At 36.9% G+C, this 20,810-nt stretch overlaps 1 protein-coding gene across 6 annotated transcripts in view; it reads right to left on the bottom strand.

Annotated features, from left to right (window-relative positions):
- CNTNAP3C (contactin associated protein family member 3C) overlaps window positions 1–20,810 on the bottom strand; it is a 131,026-nt gene that overhangs the window by 2,745 nt on the left and 107,471 nt on the right. The window contains exons 5-9 of one of the 6 annotated variants that reach the window (XM_011545672.4): window positions 17,914–18,117; window positions 17,075–17,259; window positions 15,706–15,849; window positions 11,123–11,384; window positions 5,692–5,835 (exon numbers count right to left, since the gene is read on the bottom strand). In XM_011545672.4, the coding sequence (XP_011543974.1) occupies window positions 5,692–5,835; window positions 11,123–11,384; window positions 15,706–15,849; window positions 17,075–17,259; window positions 17,914–18,117 (939 nt within the window). The other 5 variants (XM_017015380.2, XM_011545674.3, XM_011545673.3 and 2 more) reach the window with 5 other exon arrangements.

Below are 20,810 nucleotides of genomic sequence, written 5' to 3'. Positions count from 1 at the left end.
GCTCATGTGATTACATGGAGCCCACTGCATGAATCACGATCGTCTCCTAAGGTCTGCAACCTTAATTACATCTGCAAAATCCCTTATGTGATGTAACATATTCAGTTTCCAGGGCATCTTGGAGAGTCATTCTCATTCTTGCTGCCACAAAATATTCCTCATTCCTTCATGAAATGTTGTTTGCTTTCATATATTTGTCTCTAGAGAAGCATCAGGTATTTTCTCAACATCCCTTCATGTTAAAAACCCTCAACAAATGAGGCATTGGAGGACATACTTCAACATAGTAAGAGCCACCTATGACAAACCCACAGCCAGCATCATACTGAATGGGCAAAAGATGTGAAGCATTCCCCTTGAAAACTGGGACAAGACAGGGATACCCTCTCTCATTATTCCTACCCAACATAGTACTGGATGTCCTCGCCCGAGCAATCAGGCAAGAGAGAGAAATAAAAGGCATCTAAATAGGAGAAAAAGAGGTCAAACTGTCTCTGTTTGCAGATGATATGATTCTGTACCTACAAAACCCCATCGTCTCTGCCCAAAAGCTTCTCGATCTGATAATCTCAGCAAAGTTTCAGGATACAAAATTAATGTACAAAAATTAGTAGCATTCCTATATACCAACAACATGCAGGCTGAGAGCCAAATCAAGAATGCAATCCTATTCGCAATGACCACAAAAAGAATAAACTACCTAGGAATACAGCTAACCAGGGAGGTGAATGATCTCTACAAGAAGAATTACAAAACACTGCTCAAAGAAATCATAGATGACATACAAATGGAAAAACATTCCATAATCACGGATAGGAATAATAAATATGGTTTTTAACCATATTGGACCATACTGCCCAAAGCAATTTATAGATTCAATGCTATTCCTATCAAATCACCAATGGCATTCTTCAAAGAACCAGTAAAAACTATTTTAAAATTAATATAGAACCAAAAAAGAGCCTGAATAGCCAAGGGAATCCAAGGCAAAAAGAACAAATCTGGAGGCATTTCGTTAGCCAACTTCAACCTCTACTACAAGGCTATAGTAACCAAAATAGCATAGTACTGGTACAAAAACAGACACACAGACCAATGGAACAGAATAGAGCGCCCAGAAATAATGTCACACACTTAAAACCATTTGATCTTCAACAAAGTCGACAAAAACATGCAGTAGGGAAAGGACTCCCTATTCAATAAATGGTGCTGGGATAACTGGCTAACCATAAGCAGTTCCTAGACCCCTTCCTTACACCATATACAAAAATCAACTCAAGATGGATTAAAGAATAAAATGTAAAACGTGTCAGGTGCAGTGGCTCACGCCTATAATCCCAACACTTTGGGAGGGTGAGGTGGGAGGATAGCTTGAGCCTTGGAGTTTGAGACAAGCCTGGGCAACATAGCGAGACCTCGTCTCTACAAACAATAATAATAATAATAATAATAATAAATTAGCTGGATGTGGTGGCACGTGCCTGTAGTCCAGGCTAATCAGGAGGCTGAGGTGGGGGAACCTCTTAAAGCCTGGGAGGTTGAGGCTGTATCGTGTCATTGCACTCCAGCCTGGGCAACAGGTGAGACTGACTCTAAAGTCTCAAAAAAAAAAAAAAAAGTAAAGCCTATAACTACAAAAATCCTGGAAGATAACCTAGGAAATATAGGAAATGCCATTTTGGACACAGGACATGGCAAAAATTTCATGACAACGACACCGAAAACATTGCAACAAAAACAAAAGTTGACAAATGGGACCTAATTAAACTAAAGGGTTTCTGCACAGCAAAAGAAACTATCCACAGAGTAAACAGACAACCTACTGGAAGAAAATATTCACAAATTATGCATCTGACAAAGGTCTAATGTCTGGAATCTATAAGGAACTTAACAAGAAAGAAAAAAAACGTACCCCATTAAAAAACGGGCAAAGGACATGAACAGACACTTTTCAAAAGAAGACATACATGTGGCCAACAAGCATATGAAAAACTCCTCGGCATCACTAGTCATGAGATAAATGCAAATCGAAACCACAATGAGATACCATCTCACGCCAGTCAGAATTGCTATTATTTAAAAGGCGAAAAATAACAGGTGCTGGTAAAGCTGTGGAGAAAAGGGAGTGCTTATACACTGCTGGGGGAATTATACATTAGTTCAGCCATTGCAGCAAGCAGTTTCGTGATTTCTCAAAGAACTTAAAGCAGAGCTGCCACTCAACCCAGCAACCCCATTGAGTACACACCCAAAGGAATAATAATCCTTCTACCATAAAGACACACAGACGTGCATGTTCATTCACAATAGCAATGACATAGAATCAACCTAAATACCCATCAACAGTAGCGTAAAGAAAATGTACATATATACCATGGAATACTATGTAGTCATAAAAAAAGATGAGATAATGTCATTTCTAGCAACATGGATGGAGCTGGAGGCCATTATCCAAAGTGAACTAACACAGGAACAGAAAACCAAATACCATGTATTCTGACTTAGGAGTGGGAGCTTAGTATTGAGTACCCATGGACACAAAGAAGGGAACAATAGACACCACAGCCTACTTGAGGATGGAGGGTAGGAGGAGGGTGAAGATCGAAAAACTACCTACTAGGTACTATGCTCATTACCTGGGTGATGGAATAATCTGTACCCCAAGCCCCCATTACATGCAATTTACCTATATAACAAACCTGCACATGTATACCTCTGAACCTAAAATAAGTTTAAAAAAAAAAGAGAAGCAACACGTATTTTCTGAAGGAAATGGGAATTATATATGAATATACATTGTCAAAGACTATAATGTTTGAGATTTTCTATTGCTTATTTCATTAGTTTCTTTCTGGACCTATTCCATCTGGGCTAGCAGCTCTGAAAACAAAGTAGTGTGGATCAAACTCTGTCATCTGTTTCTGTCACACAGATTACAGCCCTCATCCTGAAGGAGGGACAGATTTCAGTCCCATCCTAATAAAAAAAAAATCTCTGTTCTGTTTACTGTTTTTTTCTACTTGGTTTGGAAAAATTTTGTTAGAGGCAATTGTCGATACCACATATGGCTGACAGCAGGTATAGGAGGTATCCTGGTACTCATACTTGGAAACCCTTAATTTGGCATCATCCTCAGCACATGAAATTTCTCAGATCACTAACAATCTTGGACCGATGATGATTCCTTAAGCCAACTTCGCTCTTCTGAAAAGGTTGGCGGGCATGTCTGCATTTTTCTGAGGACTCCTATGTTATCATCCACTCAAGATACACGAAGGCATTAACTAATTTTAAAAATCTTGGCCTGGCACAGTGGCTCATGTCTGTAATCCCAGAACTTTGGGAGGCCGAGGCAGTCAAATCACAAGGTCAGGAGATCGAGACCATCCTGGCAAACATGGTGAAAACCCCGTCTCTACTAAAAATACAAAAAATTAGCTAGATGTGATGGTGGGTGCCTGTAGTCCCAGCTACTCAGGAGGCTGAGGCAGGAGAATGGCGTGAACCGGGGGGGCAGAGCTTGCAGTGAGCCGAGATCGCGCCACTGCACTCCAGGCTGGGGGACACAGCGAGACTCCGCCTCAAAAAATAAAAATAAATAAATAAATAAAAATCTTAAGCTCTTCAGTTTTACTTTGTGTCTGCTTAGAGGAAAAAAGCATCCAACTACAGATATAAATGTATCCATTAATAAAAGGTAAATGGAGGCACAAAAGTTTATTTGAGCTAACAGTGATTCATGAATCACTGTTGAAGCAGCTTCAAATGGGAACTGGTTCAGGGACCCTTTCAAGGGAACAAAAAGGGACAGCTTCTGTAAGGTAAATATAGTAGCAAATTTTTCACTGGTTGTACTTATACAATTGCCTTATTTGGTTGATCCTGCTGGAAAGTCTCTAGTTATATAAGTTAATTGGCTTCTGATTGGTTAGCCTTAAGTTTGACTTTTTTTATTTTTAAAGACATTTACAAGAAATAGCTCAAGTTTTGCTTATATTGGTAAATCAAGCAAAGTTAACGCCACTTAAAAGGCTTTGTCTGGTCAGAGATACCTCAGGCCATTTTAATTTTCTTTAACAATTTAAATACACCTGTGTGCCAGAGGACAGCTCAGTGAAGTCTTTGAATGTCTGTGGCTGTATATTTGGAAAAGTATATATTCTTTGCGAAATACCACAAATACTGATGAGGTAAAATGCAATGTACAGGACTGCATGTATATAACAAGTCTCTATTACTAGATCTATACTTCTGTTTACATACAATTTTTATTACTAAGAAAGGCTGAATATATTTACCTTTCCAGTAAGAATTACAAGTAATTAAGTTACCTCAGTAACACTTCAGTGTTTAGGTACAGTGCAAGTGGCTCTCTGTATCTGTGTCCAGCATGGAATTTCATACCTAGTTGAAAACTTTCTTACTCGAGAGTGAGTTTTCTTATCATATATGTGGTGATATGGGATGATAACAGAATGTTGTAATGTACAGGCATCCATGCCCCCAAGTGATAAGTTTTCTCACATGATTGTTTCTCTTAACTGTGGTTTCCAGATATAAAAGCTTAATCTTTGGATTCACAGGAGCATTCTAGAATACATAGCAGGGTTTTGCTGTTATTCCTAGTGGTTCTTTTAATTTAAAAAAATCCAAACTTCCTTTATAATCAAAAGATCCACTTGTTCCCATTTCTTTAGCTGTATGAGTTCTCATAGTCAGTTTGGGCTGCTATTAACAGAATCCCATGAACAGAGTGGCTTACACAACAAACAGTTATTTCTCTCAGTCTGGATGCTGGAAAGTCTAAGTCTGAGTTTGAGGCAAAGCAGATGCAGTGTCTGCTTCACAGACCACAGTGTTCGCCTTATAACTTCACATGGCAGGAAAGGCAAGGGAGTTCTCTTGGGCCTCTTTTATAAGGGCACTAATTCCATTCATTAGGGCTCCACCCTCCTGACTTAATTACCCTCCAAAGCCTCCTGACACCATGACTTTGGGGTCAGGATTTCAACATATGAATCTGGGGTGGGGAAGCAAACATTCAATACTTTGCACCAGTGTAACACCAATTATACTGGATTCATTTAATATGTTTGTCTCCTATTAATTAATATTTGTTTACATTGTCAATGTTTTGAAAGTACTTCATAATCAGTATATTTCCTATTACGCCTTCTCCATGTAAAAAATATTTATCCATCTATCTATAAACTGAGCTGTGTACTAATAATGATTCAATAGTATAGATTTAGATGTAGACTTAAATATATAAGTAATATTTTATGTAAGCCAATGACTTCAGACAGTACGATTTGTTTTGTTTTTATGAGCTAACTGTTAGAAGTATAAATGGATTTATTTGTTGTAGAGATATGACTATGATATTGTTTGAAAGTTTCCACTTATTTACTACATGTAGCTCAAATATATTTTTCTTTTAATGTTAAATGAAAATATGAAGTTATTTAAACAGCAAGTAAACTTTCTGCAGATACTTATTTTTGTATTGGGAAGAAAAACTGATTAAATGTTTCATGTTTTTTATAAACTCAAAAGGTATTAATTTCATGGCTAGAGATAAATTATTTCTTAGTATCAACTTGGTTTAAATTTGACTAGAGACTCAAAATGCAAAGCAATAAAGATAAAAAGTGGTTCCACTGCCAGTGTCATTCAGTTGCCTTCTCTTACCTCCAAAATAATAGGTGTCACCTGAATCAATGAGCACAGCCACCAGGGGCTGAACAGCTGTGTCATCGTCCACCACCACATTCATATGGCTCCACTTGGCAGAGAAGGACACAGAGTGCCACTGCCCATCGTTTAATCCAGCACCTGGAGGAAATACAATCAGTCAGAGACAACTCTAAATTATGAGCTCTGTAAACACTTGAAAACAATTTGATTCAGATCACTGAATAAGTCAGAGAAGAGTGGTATTTACATGTTCATGTATCACTGAAAAAAAAATTAACCACCTATCTTTAATTTAAAAATTTCATTTATTACGAAAATAACACATGAATAAAAATATTACTCTTTCTGAAGAATCACTGTAACAAATTCTGGTAATTTGCTTAAAGTAACTAGAATTTAATTATCAAATATATACAGTAGGAGCCTTTACAATGGGATAAAAACAACACAGTTTGGTTTAATCTTCAAATGCAAAACTTACTTGCTTTACTGAATCTAACAAAAACATTTTACAAGAATCAAGAAAGTGAGTTGATAAAAAATACGTCAAGAATGATTGTGAAAAGTTTTTTTTAGAAAAAGTTGACACATAATTGCACATACTTATGGGGTGTGACAGGATTTGAAATGGACGATCACTGGATGTCTGGCTTACTGCACCTATTAATTAAGGTAAACCCTGCTTTCACTGTCTGAGCTATTTTACAGCCCTGTAAATTGTAGAAAACTGATAGTAATGCAAAATGACTTGTACCCATAGAAATACAAATGACTAGTGCCTGGCGAGGTGCAGTTGCTTACTGAACCATTTCATATCTGTCTGTAATTCATTTTGGCATTTCTTATCTGCCTGTATGTGTAGTACTTTGAATTATCCTCCGAACTGATTGTAACATCTTACTGGTTTCTTCATAGATTAGTTAAAATCTTTAACATATATTCGTGTGTTTCTGAATTAACAAATTATGATTATAGATATAATTATACTGTCTTTTAAAAGTTATTATTCGCTGGGCATGGTGGCTCATGCCTGTAATCCCAGCAGTTTGGGATGCTGAGGCGGGCAGATCACCTGAGGTCGGGAGTTCAAGACCAGCCTGGCTAACATGGTGAAACCACATTTCTACTAAAAAACAAAAAATTAGCTGGGCATGGTGGCACTAGCCTATAGTCCCAGTCACTTCGGAGGCTGAGGCACAAGAATCACTTGAACCTGGGAGGTGGAGGTTGCAGTGTGCTGAGATCACACCACTGTACTCCAGTGTGGGTGACAGAGTGAGACACTGTCTCAAAAAGATAAAATAAAATAAAATAAAGCTATTATTTAATATTTGATAAAAAATGCTTAGGAAAGAACTGGAGTTGTACTTTATATATGTGCAATATTTTTATATATTTACACTCACATCCACATTATTTTATGATTCTTAGTAGTAATTATGAAATTAATCCTGTCAAATAATTTGGTAACAAAATGAATTGTCTTTGATGGTAAAGTTAAATGTTAAGGTATTTAAAATCACTAGAGGTATTCTGTGCTTTCTTTTACCTGATAATATGTCAAAGATACATGCCAATAAATGGGCTAAAAATAAGATTAGCTTCATGAGGCCTATTAAATTAACTTTGCACTGAAGTTTAAAATTAGGCCAAGATTGAAACTATTTCAGAAGTTACATATATCATAATAAACTTTAGACTAATAGAAATTTTCCTATAAAGTTAACATTTTACTTGATAGTCCTGGGAAACCTGTAAATTATTAAAATGACTCTATGCTTCATTTATTTTTCTTCCTAACATGCATTTATGTGAAGTTAGTATATTATTACCATTTCAAATGTAGTACTTCTTAAAAATTAAACATTAACATTAATATTTTAGCTTTCCCTTTTAACCTTCAGTGATGTATGAAACAGAAACAGAAGTAGTAATAAAGTGTAAGGAAATAAATTATTCTTTAAAATCAACCAAGATTCTGGATGTCTTCAATGTAAAACTAGGCATTGTCTAAACACAATCTGGAGGATTATATGATTCTGCAGGTTTCTGTGCCTTTTACCTTGAGTTTTTTTTTGTTTTTGTTTTTGTTTTTTGAGATGGAGTCTCGCTCTGTCACCCAGGCTGGAGTGCAGTGGTGCCATCTCGGTTCACTGCAAGCTCCGCCTTCCGGGTTCAAGCCATTCTCCTGCCTCAGCCTCCTGAGTAGCTAGGACTACAGGCACCCGCCACCACGCCTGGCTAATTTTTTTGTATTTTTAGTAGAGATGGGGTTTCACCGTGTTAGCCAGGATGGTCTCAATCTCCTGACCTCGTGATCTGCATGCCTTGGCCTCCCAAACTGCTGGGATTACAGGCGTGCCACCACACCTGGCCCCTTCTTTGAATTCTTTTACCACCCTGTGAATTGTAGAAAATTGAAAGCAGGCAAATGATTATTGTCCATAGACATGCAAATGAATTTTGTCTGGCAGGAATACAATTGAACTTCTTCCTGGTTCCTCTACCCCATCCCATGGAATAAGCCAGTTTTACATTATACACAAAATCATTGCAGCAGTAACATCTTACTGATTCTCTCATAAACTAATGAGTTAAACAAAATCTTTGACATGTTCTTTTTATAACTGCAAAAAGTGCCCTCTTTAAGAATATCTTTTGACAAATAAAAGCAGATCTTTGTATAACTGTTTTCATGTCTATCATCCACATTTGTTTTATTTTTGTTTTCTATTAGGTTGTATTTGGCCTTTGGCCATAGTTTATGCACAAGAAAATCAGATACAGTAGAATCTATAAATATTTCAATGAGAAGTTACTAAATTAATTGCCCACAACATAGATGTTATTTTAAACACATTTGATATGAAGATGATCTCTTGTTAACAACTACAACATTTTAACTGCAGAGGCAAAATATCACACTCACAAAGCCATGAGCTAAAGCAAAATCCTGATGAGATTTAAGAACTTTAATTATATTTAATTCTAGTTATTGTGCAACCCAGAACTGGATGAAGTGCTTGTTCAGCACTTCATTGAATCCAGAATATATGCAACTCATCAGCAGTAAAACTGAACCAACTACTATAGGAAAAAAATTGAGGGCAGTCTTTGCAATGGGCAAAGGAGATTACTGGGTATCTTTTCAATGGAAAGATTAGCTGATATTACGGGATTGTAAACCATCATCTTGGACTAGGTTACTTTACAGCTGTGTAGTGACAGAAGTTAACTTGCAGAACATTGATAATAATGCAAATAATGCTTGTCCATAGAGATGCAAAGTGTGTACAGGGAAGGGATTTGCCTTTCCCTTTGGATATTGACAAGTTTAGCTAGTCGGCATCTCTTTTCTGACTATAAATGTGTGGTACTTCTTTAAACAGGCCTTACTGGTGTAAGGGTAAACACAAACCAAAACAAACAAAAGCTTTCTTAGTGCTAAAAGGGATACACACTTTCATTCACTTTTTTTCCTTAGAGCATTTCTTTCAGAAAACTTGTAATTGTACATCTTTAAAATCTTAAAACAAAATCTTATTTAGCCTCTTTCTTGTTTCCAGGAGTGTTTTTCTTGAGGACCTTGGAGACATTTCTTTGAAATGTAAACACCAAGAAAGGCAGTGCTCCTATCTCCTTGTCTCCGTGGGAGTTTAACGTAGGTGCCTGGCTCCAAGTTGCAACTACCCACTTGTCAAAGAGACATGGAGTTTAGTTTTCCTTTGCATAAAGGAGTGTGCCTCCCCAATCACCAGGTGAATGTAAGATGGGCTGTGTAGCAAACGGCGCTGTCAAGTCCTCTTACTTGAGGACAAGCTGTCCTTTATCTTTAGAACATGTATGTAATGGGTTGTATCTGCCTGGCTATATAAATGGATGAAATTTCTTTATCTTTGCAATCACATTAGCGATTGCCTGAAATGTACATCACAGTCTGGCTTAATACTTATTCCATAATAAGATTATTTCATTTCTACCTTGTGAAACTGATTCACTATGTTGGTGGGCCATTTTATCTTTACTTATTTCCCTAACACTGGTTCTCTCATCAATGAGTTAAAGAAAATCTCTGACATGTGTTCATTCTGTATCTGTGTGTAGGTCACGATTTTAACCTTTCTTGGAAAAAATCTTATTCGTGAGGAAATGGAAACTAGGTTTGCATTTCTAAAAGATAAAAAATATACGTCCCCTCTGAATATCTGTTTTATCTCCCCTGAAACACCTGTGTGAGGTGGACATAGATTCTAACACCCAGGACTTGCCTGATTGTTCCAGAAGTACTGAGATAAGGCCCCGCCCTCTGAATTTCTTCACGGGTCTTGAAATCGTGCTTTTATACCACAACATTTAATAGCAGTATAGTCACGTGTGCCTCTTACAGCCAAAAGGAATCTTTTTTTGAGTATGATTACCCCCTGGTCTCAAGCAGAAGTCAGCCTCTTCGTCTGTGCCTTTTTCTTTTTCAGATTACGCTTTTTTTTTTTTAAAGCCCCCATTTAGTTCCGATGCCAATTTAGGCACAATGTCAATTTAGGACCCAGTGCTCCTCCCATCTGCAAATCCAAAATCATCAAAATCCAGCAGCTCTGTAGTTAACAAACTTGCCCACATCTGACTGCATGTGAGATTAGTTCCCATCTATTGTAACTCAGTCTGGCTTCATGGGATTTGAGCCCCTAACCTAGCATTTGCCCAACAAAAACAGGCCCTGATGGGGAGTGGGGATGTGAGGGCCTGTGTGTGGGGTGGGCATTGTGCTAATAAAATCAGACTTCCTATTGTTCTCCCTGCAAAGGAGATCTGAGGTTTACCACTTCACAAGTGAAAACAGCTGAGGCTTAGGAGGCTTCGTGATTTACATTTCAGAAGGGCAGTAAGTGGAGGAGCTGAGATTCTTCCAGGGTGCCCAGCTATCCCAGAAAACGAATCAGCCATCAACGAAAGAATAAGAACTCTTGGTATTTGCCGGGCATCTTTCCCTGTAAAGTGATAGTTATCAATTGCCTACTGTGTATAGAATATTTGTGCACAGACCCTGAGCGGCGGGGCGGAGAAGGGAAAGGAGGAGGAGGACAGGAGAGGAATGTGCCTCTAGGTATTGTCTGTTCCATGAGGTCCTGACCCTAGTTCTTTGGGATGGAGGCTGGTATATGTTTGTCAGGAAATGGAGCTCAAGGATATTCCTTGTATATGGGAAGGTATGTCTGCAGAAATATGCATTTCATATTTCTCATACATAGTCATTTTGGTCAAAAGAACACTTTAGTGGCAGCGGGGTGTACCACACAGAACAGTCTAAAAGGAAACAGCAATCTGTTCCTCTAGTGGGGGCATGGAGCATCTCACTGCCTCACTCACTCACTAATTACCAAATGATTTCCGTGTGGATATGTCAGGTTTATGGGAATACAACTGTTACCTGCTGTGACATTCCTTGGTGACTGTCCCGGCTGGAAGAGACTCAGTTTGAGCTTGCCATCCTTAAGAAAGAGGACGAAACTCCCTGAACCACGTCGAAGTTCGCCGAAAAGCAAATGTCCTGCTCTGTTCCACGTTCGAAATTGAAAAGTGACAGACACTTTGTCCTCCCCAGAGTTGCCTGGCAGAGCCAGATAACTCCTGGAGCTCAGAAAAGTCACAGGGACAGTCTGTGGCTGTGGACATGAGAAGGACACATTTCCCTATAAATAAAACAAAAGAGCACATTGAGCAGCCTTACAGGTGGTGCTTCTATCTAATTAAAGCCAGATTTTACGAAGACGTACAAGGCTTTTTATCAATCCAGGATTAGTCTGCCTGCTAAAGCTGAAATCTATAACATTTATCTTCTCTTTCAACATAAGTATTATTATAATTGGGCACACATCCATGTGGCTTTCTGTGTGTGTGTGAGAAATTCTCCACTTCTCTACTTCTCAGCATTAGTAAAGGAGTCTCAATATAATTTTAGTTCAACAGGAGTTTAATCTATGCCAGCTATTTTCCAGGCCCTGTGCTAGCCCTGAGGATACAGCAAATAACAGGACATTTTCATACTCAGTCTTTCTCCTGAGCAACATTTGGTCTTCTCTACACAATCCTCAAAATCTCTTTTGAACCAGCTTACTATTTTACTGGTTCCCTCATTAATGAATTGACTAAATCTTTGACACATGCTTATTTGATATTTGTATGGGTCATATTTTTAGCTGTTGGAAAGTTATATTTGACAGCCTTTCAAATGGTTTTCAGATCTAATAGTTATATGCAATGTTTGCATATAGTATTTTTAGCATGAAAACATTGATGTTTTTATATAGTCAATTATGTCTATATTGTATTTTACAGCTTCTGAGTTTCCAATCTTTGTTAAGAAAGTTTCATACTACCCTAGGTCCTACATACAATCTCATAGATTTTCTTTAAGATTGTTGTTTGTTTCTCATCCTCTTTAATTTACATATTCTTAGTGTGTATAAGATAGTGATCATGCTTATTTTCTGCCTTATGGACACTTGTTTGTTCCGGCAGAATTTCAGAAATAATTCATCCCTGTTCCACTGAATTGAGCCACATTCCTTGTTACTAACAACTTTGCACATAAACTGGGATCTTTCTGAGATCTTGACTGTTCTACTGACTTCTCTGTTCCTATCCACTACCATACTGATTCTAGTATAGAAGCTTTTAGTATGCTTTAATATCTGGTAAGTCAACATCTTACTAGGTTTTTAAATGGTTTTTGTTTGTTTGTTTGTTTTGCTTTGTTTGGCTGGTGAAAGGAATAAGCAATTCTTGGGCATTATTCACACATAGGAATTTCAGTTCCAGAGAAAAACCCCAGTAATTCTGATTTTACTTGGAATTTCCATGGATTTATTTCTAATATACTATAAATGATTTTAGAAAAAGAATGTTACTGGAGCAGGACAGATAATCTAGGGTAGTGGCTCTCAAACCTAGCTAAACAGTCGAATCACCAGAAGGGCTCTTAAAATCCAGATACAGACCAATTAAAATCCCGATCTCTGGAGGTAGAGCCAGGTAATGGTATCTTTTGAATCTCCTCTGGTGACTCCAAGATAAAGCCAAGTTTAAGAACCACACTGATCCAGTGGTAAAACAATTTTCAAAACAGAATCACATTTTTAAAAAATTCTGTCCCAACATACTTTAGAAATGGATATAATTCAGTTATCATTTTATAATAATCTTTAATACACATTCTAACTGTATACATCAATCAGAACATTTCTTCTTGACTATTTTTGTAATTCTGCCAAATGGGAAACAGTTTTCATGACAAGAAAACATTTGCAGAAGAAAATTTAAAAAAGAAAACATTTGCTGTAACAAACTAAATACCAAAAGCTTACAAGTAATTGGCACTGATCCATAGTACACATGTAATCACTGGACTATTACATATTTTTTATCTTTTTATCAGCTGTATATTTCTTGACCTCATCATTTAGGTGGGTAGCTGCCTGCTACAACAGAGAGGCAGGGCTTCTTGCCACAGAGGAGTGCTTGTTAGTTGACTGAATGAATTCTGGCAACTGATTTTCCCAACAAAATACATTTTTAAATGTTTTCCTTTTATATATTGGAACAACTATTTTCCTGTTTTTATACAGAACACATAGAATTGTAGTAATTCTTAAAATGGAATTCCCATAATTAACATTATATATCCATATGCACAATTTGGAATGAATTGTCTTTTTGTTTTTGTGTGAAACTTACACATTTTAATAACCTCATTCAATGTAATTAGTAAATAGTTTTCTTGAGGATGATATCCAGAACCCAGAGATACCAGCTTAATTGTGGTTCTCCTTATTGGCTATACTCAATAATTCCATCAGTGAACCCATCAGTAATTCAGAATAACATGGAATGTATATGAAAACCTGTGTCTGTTGTCCTCAAATAGTCTTGTCTCTTTGTGTCATAAGGCCCAACTCACTCTTCCTCACTTCAATGACAGTGTCTTTGTAAATAGCCCCATAGAAGTTAGGGTGAGGAGGAGGGATTCTTCTGAACACCAAGGACTGGCAGATAAAAGGTAGCTTAATATTCAGAACGTGTTAGGTCAGGCTTCTTGACACGGATGCCCATTGGCCAAACCCATCTTTGTATCTGTATCTGAGTAACGCATCTCCAACAAAGCCAACTTCAATAACCAGGTCTTTTTTCTTTTTCCTGTTGAGCAGCACTTAAATGTCAGTTTCTCCATGGACAGAAACTTTAGGTAGAGGGCTGTTCCATTTATCTCCTTCCTCTTTTCATTTCTTTTTCATCTTGTCAAAGGAAACTGCACTCTGTGGAGCCTTGTTATCACTCTTCCCTTTGGTGTTTCCTTTTTCATGTATCTTGATGGTATTTTTCATTTTTATGATCTCAGCAGGGTGCTGTTCATAGTAAAACTTAGACTTCAAACCCATCTTTTTTTTTTTTTTTTTTCTCCTTTACCTTCTTGGAAAGTTCATGGGCTTCACAGCTGTTTTTCCCTTTTTCTCATGCTAACCTAAGTGATGTATTCATTGTGTGGTCTGGTGACACACAGTCAGAGATATTTTCAGGTTTTGGTCCTGCAACCCATGAGCCAACTCCTCCAGCACATAACAGGAAAGAAAACATGTTCCCAACAATACAAATAAATATTCCCATGATGTGCTGCTGAGATACACTGACAACTAAACATGAGCTTTCCCTTTAACCCAAACTTGGATATTTCAAACTTTAAACATTGAAAGAAGTTTATTAACTGATTTGGAAGTATTTCCAGTTGATTAGGGAATAGATCATTAGGGATTGCCATTGCAAAATGATTGGTCTCCTGTGGATAACAACACCAAAAACACGTGAGACATATGAATTCTGATTTCCATGTAAAAATAGAAAGTTATTTTATTTCATATAAAAATGAAACAACGATGTCCCATGAGGCATATTTACTTTATAACTTTTTATGCATAATAAAAATTACTATATTAGGCTGGGTCAAGGTGGCTCGTGCCTGTAATCCTAGCATTTTGGGAGGCCGAGGCAAGTGTATCGTCTGAGGTCAGGAGTTTGAGACCAGCCTGGCCAATGTGGCAAAACCCTGTCTGTACTAAAAAAAATTAGCCGGGTGTGGTGGCACACACCTGTAGTCCCAGCTACTCGGAAGGCTGAGGCAGGAGAATGGCTTGAACCCAGGAGGCAGAGGTTGCAGTGAGCCAAGACTGTACCGCTGCACTCCAGCCTGGGCAACAGAGCAAGACTGCATCTCAAAACAAAAACAAAAACAAAAACAAAAAAAGTGCGCCTGTGGTCCTAGCACTTTGGGAGGCCGAGGTGGGCAGATCACGAGGTTGGGAGATCGAGACCATCCTGGCTAACATGGTGAAACCCCGTCTCTACCAAAAATATAAAAAATTAGCCGGGCATGGTGGTGGGAACCTGTAGTCCCAGGTACTCGGGAGGCTGAGGCGGGAGAATGGCGTGAACCCAGGAGGCAGAGCTTCACTGCACTCCAGTCTGGGCGACAGAGTGAGACTCCGTCTCAAAAAAAAAAAAAAAAAAATTGGCCCAGGCCCAGTGGCTCACACCTGTAATCCCAGCACTTTGGGAGGCCGAGGCAGGCAGATCACCTGAGGTCAGGAATTCGAGACTAGCCTGGCCAACATGGCGAAACCCCGTCTCTACTAAAAGTACAAAAATTAGCTGGGCATGGTGGCGGGCGCCTGTAATCCCAGCTACTCAGGAGGCTGAGGCAGGAGAATTGCTTGAACCTGTGAGGCGTAAGCTGCAGTGAGCTGAGATTGCGCCGCTGCACTCCAACCTGGGAGACAAGAGGGAGACTCTGTCTTAAAAATAAATAAATAAATAAAACTAAATTACTATATTACATGGGCAGCTGTTAAAGTAAGAACTGATTCTTAAAATATTAGATGAAATGGAGACTTCACATGAATAATTTTTAAATGCAAAAAATAAAATGTCCTTTTTTCTTTCCTTCCCATTAGGCTTCCTTACCATCATGAGGATCTGTGGTTTGTGTTTCTTGGCTAATTCGGTAACATCCACTCCATTATAATAAAGATTTTCTAAACACCCATGAAAGCTTTTACGTCTGAATGCCCGCGATCTTCCGGGTGTCGGAATTCCCCCAAAGCTGATCTTAGAAAGAAAAATGACATAAATAACATTGTTTAGTGATTTTCTGATGGTACGTGTTTAAAGCATTTATAATTAATAGGTCTAGTACTAACTGTCACAAATCCATTCCCATTATCTTATATTTGCATGCTTGCTTATTCCAAATGAAGTGTTCTATCATAATGACAGCTGTTAATACCTTTATTTCTGGCACCACACAGTTTTGAACAAACTTAAAAGGAAGAAGTCAACACACATTTTCTGCCACATTGAAATTTTCAGCCATGTAGTAAATTTACCCTTTGTGGGTCATATGATCTCTTTTGCAGCACTCAACTCTGACACGAAGTACCAATGTGGCCACGGACAATACATAAAGAAAGAGAACATGTTCCAATAAAACCTTCTCTTTTGAACAAAAACAGGCTTTGTATTTTTTTAATTAAAAAATGTCCAAACTTGGCCTGATGCCCATAGTTTGCCAACCTCTGCATTAGATATTATCTTTTGCTATTACATGGTTAAATTAAAGTAATAAAACTGAATAATCCGGTATAGGACTAGGATCTTCAGTTTAATATTATATGCCAAAGCCACTTACGCCAGTAAATATCACAGTTTTTCTGGTTTGTTATGATCCTTCATACACTTTAAGGTGTCCTGTAAAGGACTGAAAGAATAGATGCTATTTAACAGTGTAGCTTAGATACATATGGGCAATGGGTTGCAAAAAGCATTAATGACTTAAAAAATATCAGGATATTATTTATATGTGAGCATCTGACTTTTCTTGTTATTTAATAAATCTATTGGTGTATATCTTGTTAACTTCTCAAAGTGATCCTAAATAATGCTATGTTGGTTAGGATTGCACCAAGACAAGAAAAAAAATCCCCCAGGAATCTGCATAGTCAAACAACAAGTGTAATATACCAGATGAAATTTCAAATGAAATATATTCAAATGAGTACATTTAATAACAATGCTTGCTACTTTGGTATTTCTGCATTTGTGGATTTCCTAAACCTAACACTGACTGTTTACTTCTTTCCAAGGTGGAAAAGATGATCTATTATAATAAACTGACCTATTAGAAGGCATAAACAGTTTCATAGTACCGGGACAGACATACCATACCTATTACTATTAGTCAACTTAGTTATGAATTACTATAAAATGGCATTTCTCTATGCAGCTACCTTATTTTTCAGGTTATATTTAATTTAAACTATATATCTATAATAACCTCAAAATTAAGATCCAAGTAACTGGAATCTCCCTTTGCTTGGAAATGATGAGTGTGTTTGTCCACGGTGAAGTTGACCTGCGTGTCGAGGAGCTCGATGAGGACGGAATGCCAGTGCTGGTCGTCCAGCAGGCTGCCCAGGGTGAGGGTCACAGGAGCAATAGTGGAAGGCAGCTTAGCATTGCCTTAAAGGAGAAGGAAAAAAACAGTTATTTCTGTTCAAAATCACAGCTTCCCTTTTTTAGTTGAGCATCACAGTTTGCATCCAACTTTCCATCTTACAGAGTTGTTTTCTCACTTTCTCCCTATCTTGAACACAATAACCTTACCCTGTTTTTATTTTTTTTAAGTTCAATTCTACACTTTGTTGAAATTTTTCTTAGTATTTTTTCTATTACTCATGACATTTGGATTTACAATGCAAATATTTTCTTTCTTAGAACCTCATTATCAGCATTATCTCATAATTTTATAATGATGTATTGTCTTTATGATATGGATAATCATATATTACATATATATTATACACACATATGGTGATCTTGCACAGTTTGTCAAAATATATGCTGTTTACAGAAATCATACTTAGGATATGTATGTATTGCATGCATCTGGTAGTAATGCTCTTAAACTTTCATTTACATTTGTTCATTGCAGTTCTACTTTGCACTTACTGTCCCAGAGTAACTATCACTTGTGTATTTTTTATTTCTTAAAGGTGTTCTGGTTTAGATGATGAATTATATGGTCATTTTATCTAACTGTGAAAAGACTGAGTACCAACAAATGTAAACAGATTTTTTTTAACTACTGGTATAAAAGTTCAAGTATTTTTTTACCTGAATTAAGAAAAAAGACAAGCTTTCCTTTAATTAATTCCAGAGTAATGTGATTTCCATGTTGTCCTTCTCTGTGAAGTAGAATTCCATTGCTCTGCATGGCTTTAAATTTCAAAGAAATAACGTCTCTTATTGGTTTTAAAGGTTTTTTATCAAGTCTATACAGCAGAGCACTTTGTCCATCAAAATAAACCACCTCAGATTCTAGGAAAGAAGATATTAGAAAGCAATTCTAAATATAAATATGTCATACAGTAGCACATTGAAAATGTGTGCATCAATATGCCACACCACACACACATAGACACACATTGTATTTCTAAGCCATTCATTGAAGGAAACAACTGACAATAATATATTTTCTGGTGGCATCATGAGTTGATATATGTAATATCCACCGTTAGAATTTTCTAACATTTTCTCAAACTTCATCATCTAGAAATGCTTTTATTAATCTACTCCCAATGGCTCTTATCTTTAGAGCAGCCCATTTCTTCTCATTCTGTTTGATTAAAAACAATCAGGAAAGAAGCTGTATTTCACTACATAAATTATTTATTTTAAGGTCATTCTTATATTAAATATCAGTGTCACTCAATTTAAATACCTTTGTTCATTCCCAGTAGCTTTGGCTTCTCTTGATTCTTACACATGTACCTACTTTACTAAAGATTTTGTCTGTAAAGATACAGAAACACATATCATACTTATTAAATACTGCTTTAGACATGTAATAAATGTATTTTAAATGAGCTGACATGTAATATTTTTCTCAACCCTTGGCTAATGGTACTGCTAATGGGCACTGCAATGTGTCAACTTGGCTAGGCCATGGTAAACAGCTTTTGGTCAAACACTAGTCTTGATGTTGCAGTGCAGGTATTTTTTAGAGGTAATCAATATTAAATCAGTAAACATTGAGTAAAGCAGGTTAAACTCTATAACGTGGGTGAGCCTCATCCAATCAGTTGAAGGCTGTAAGAGAAAGAAAGAAAACTGAAGTTCTCTAGGAAAGAAGGAATTTTGCCTCCAGACAACCTCTGGACTCCAGCTGCAATATCACCTCTTACCTAGGACTTGCCAGTCCTTACAATCAGGTAAGCCAATTCCTTAAAACTCTCTCTCTCTCTACACACACACACACACACACACACACACACACACACACACACAGGCACACAGACATCCTATTGGTTCTGTTTCTCTGGAGAGCCCTGTCTGACAAAGGCACAGAGGTTTTGTTTTCTTGGATGCTTTGTTGAGAGAGCATGGCCTTAACACCTCTGTTTTGGTTCTTCCTGCTGTAGCTTGTCAGAACTCCAATGCTGCCACACTCTCTCAGCACTCTGTCAGGGTCTTATAAATTCACTATAAATGTCACATATGTTCAGCTCATCAAAAAACAAGTTGTTTCATTTTATCAGTAATATAAAATAATATTTGATAATATTTGTCAAAATCACATGAAGAAATTAATATTACCCAGAAAATCTCTTCTTTTTAAAAGTAAAAAGAAAAATAAGCAATTGTCCTTTGAAAAATATATTTATTTAATAAATGAAGATGCATGAAAACCTAGTGAAATATGAAACTATTTGAAGCTGACTAGCTGATGTCATTCAAGCCAATAAGATGGCATTGTTTAATTATATTTAATTTCACAAAAATATTACTAGTACTTTTTGCATGGCTATCCATTTCATTCACATTATCTGAAATACATATAATAAACTGCACTTCAAAAGTTCTCCATTTTATGTATCATTTTAAAATTTAGAAGTTTGATTTTCTCACATTGGGTTAATGTACTTACAAGGAATTAATGTATCAAGTGCATGATGAATAAACACATTCTGAGTAAAATATGTGTAAATTAAACAATTATTCCTTGTTACATAACTTATTATATGTTCATGATAAAAACAAAACTCTCTGTCAAATGTAAATGAAGACATCTAAGATTATTATTACCTGGCCATGAACTAAGGGAAACCTGAAAAAGATTGACTACAGACTTTCACATTTTTAGCACTGCCCTAATACTTATAATCATGTCTTTATTTGTTGCTTAAAGAAAATGCTAATATTTGAGCTATTTTTTTTTTTTAGTTGACTAACAAAAAAAGTTTTCTTCCCGAAAAGGTTTTTTCTGGATTATTGCAACCTATACATTTCTTTTTCTCATTCTATGTTTACTATTACTCTCCAACAGCAGTATTGATCTTCTAAGGCATGTGAAGTACAGTTCCTGGAATGTTTCCCTCAGGCAAATAGAATAGTAAAACACTTATCAAGTAAAAGAGACATAAAGCAATGACCTTGAAACTCTTTTGTTCTTTAGCTAATACCTTGATTTTTTCTTTACTGTAATCGCTAGTGCTTGTATCTAGAAATTTAAGAATATACTTATAGCTCATTATGCATATTTTAAAATAAAAGCAGATTAATGAATTGCAAATCCAAACTTTCTAAAAATCATTAAACATTCTATGATTTATGAAGTCAATACATAAAAATATGAAACAAAAAATGATGTTTGGGATGGAAAGCATTGAGTTCAATAAGTCAACAGTAACGAGCCCACCAAGATCAGCACTGGAGAGGGACAACGCCCATGTAGTCCCTCTTGAATAAGATCCTCCCACTGGAGAAGCAAAATTTCAAGTCTTGGTCCTTAGAAGTAATGCTAAAAGGTAAACTCTCTTCCCACTTGTCCACAAAAGTCATACTTTTAGCATTTTAAAACACTTGCAAGAGCAAAGAAAAGTTCTCCCAGCTGGTCAGGTGCAGTGGCTCATGCTTGTAATCCCAGCCCTTAGGGAGGCTGATGCGGGCAGATCACTTGGGCCCAAGAGTTCGAGACCAGGCTGGGCAGCATGGCAAGACTGGTCGCACTT

This window comes from Homo sapiens, chromosome 9, assembly GCF_000001405.40.
Source record: "Homo sapiens chromosome 9, GRCh38.p14 Primary Assembly".
Lineage (NCBI taxonomy): Eukaryota > Metazoa > Chordata > Mammalia > Primates > Hominidae > Homo > Homo sapiens.
This window is presented reverse-complemented; position numbering and strand designations above follow the sequence as displayed.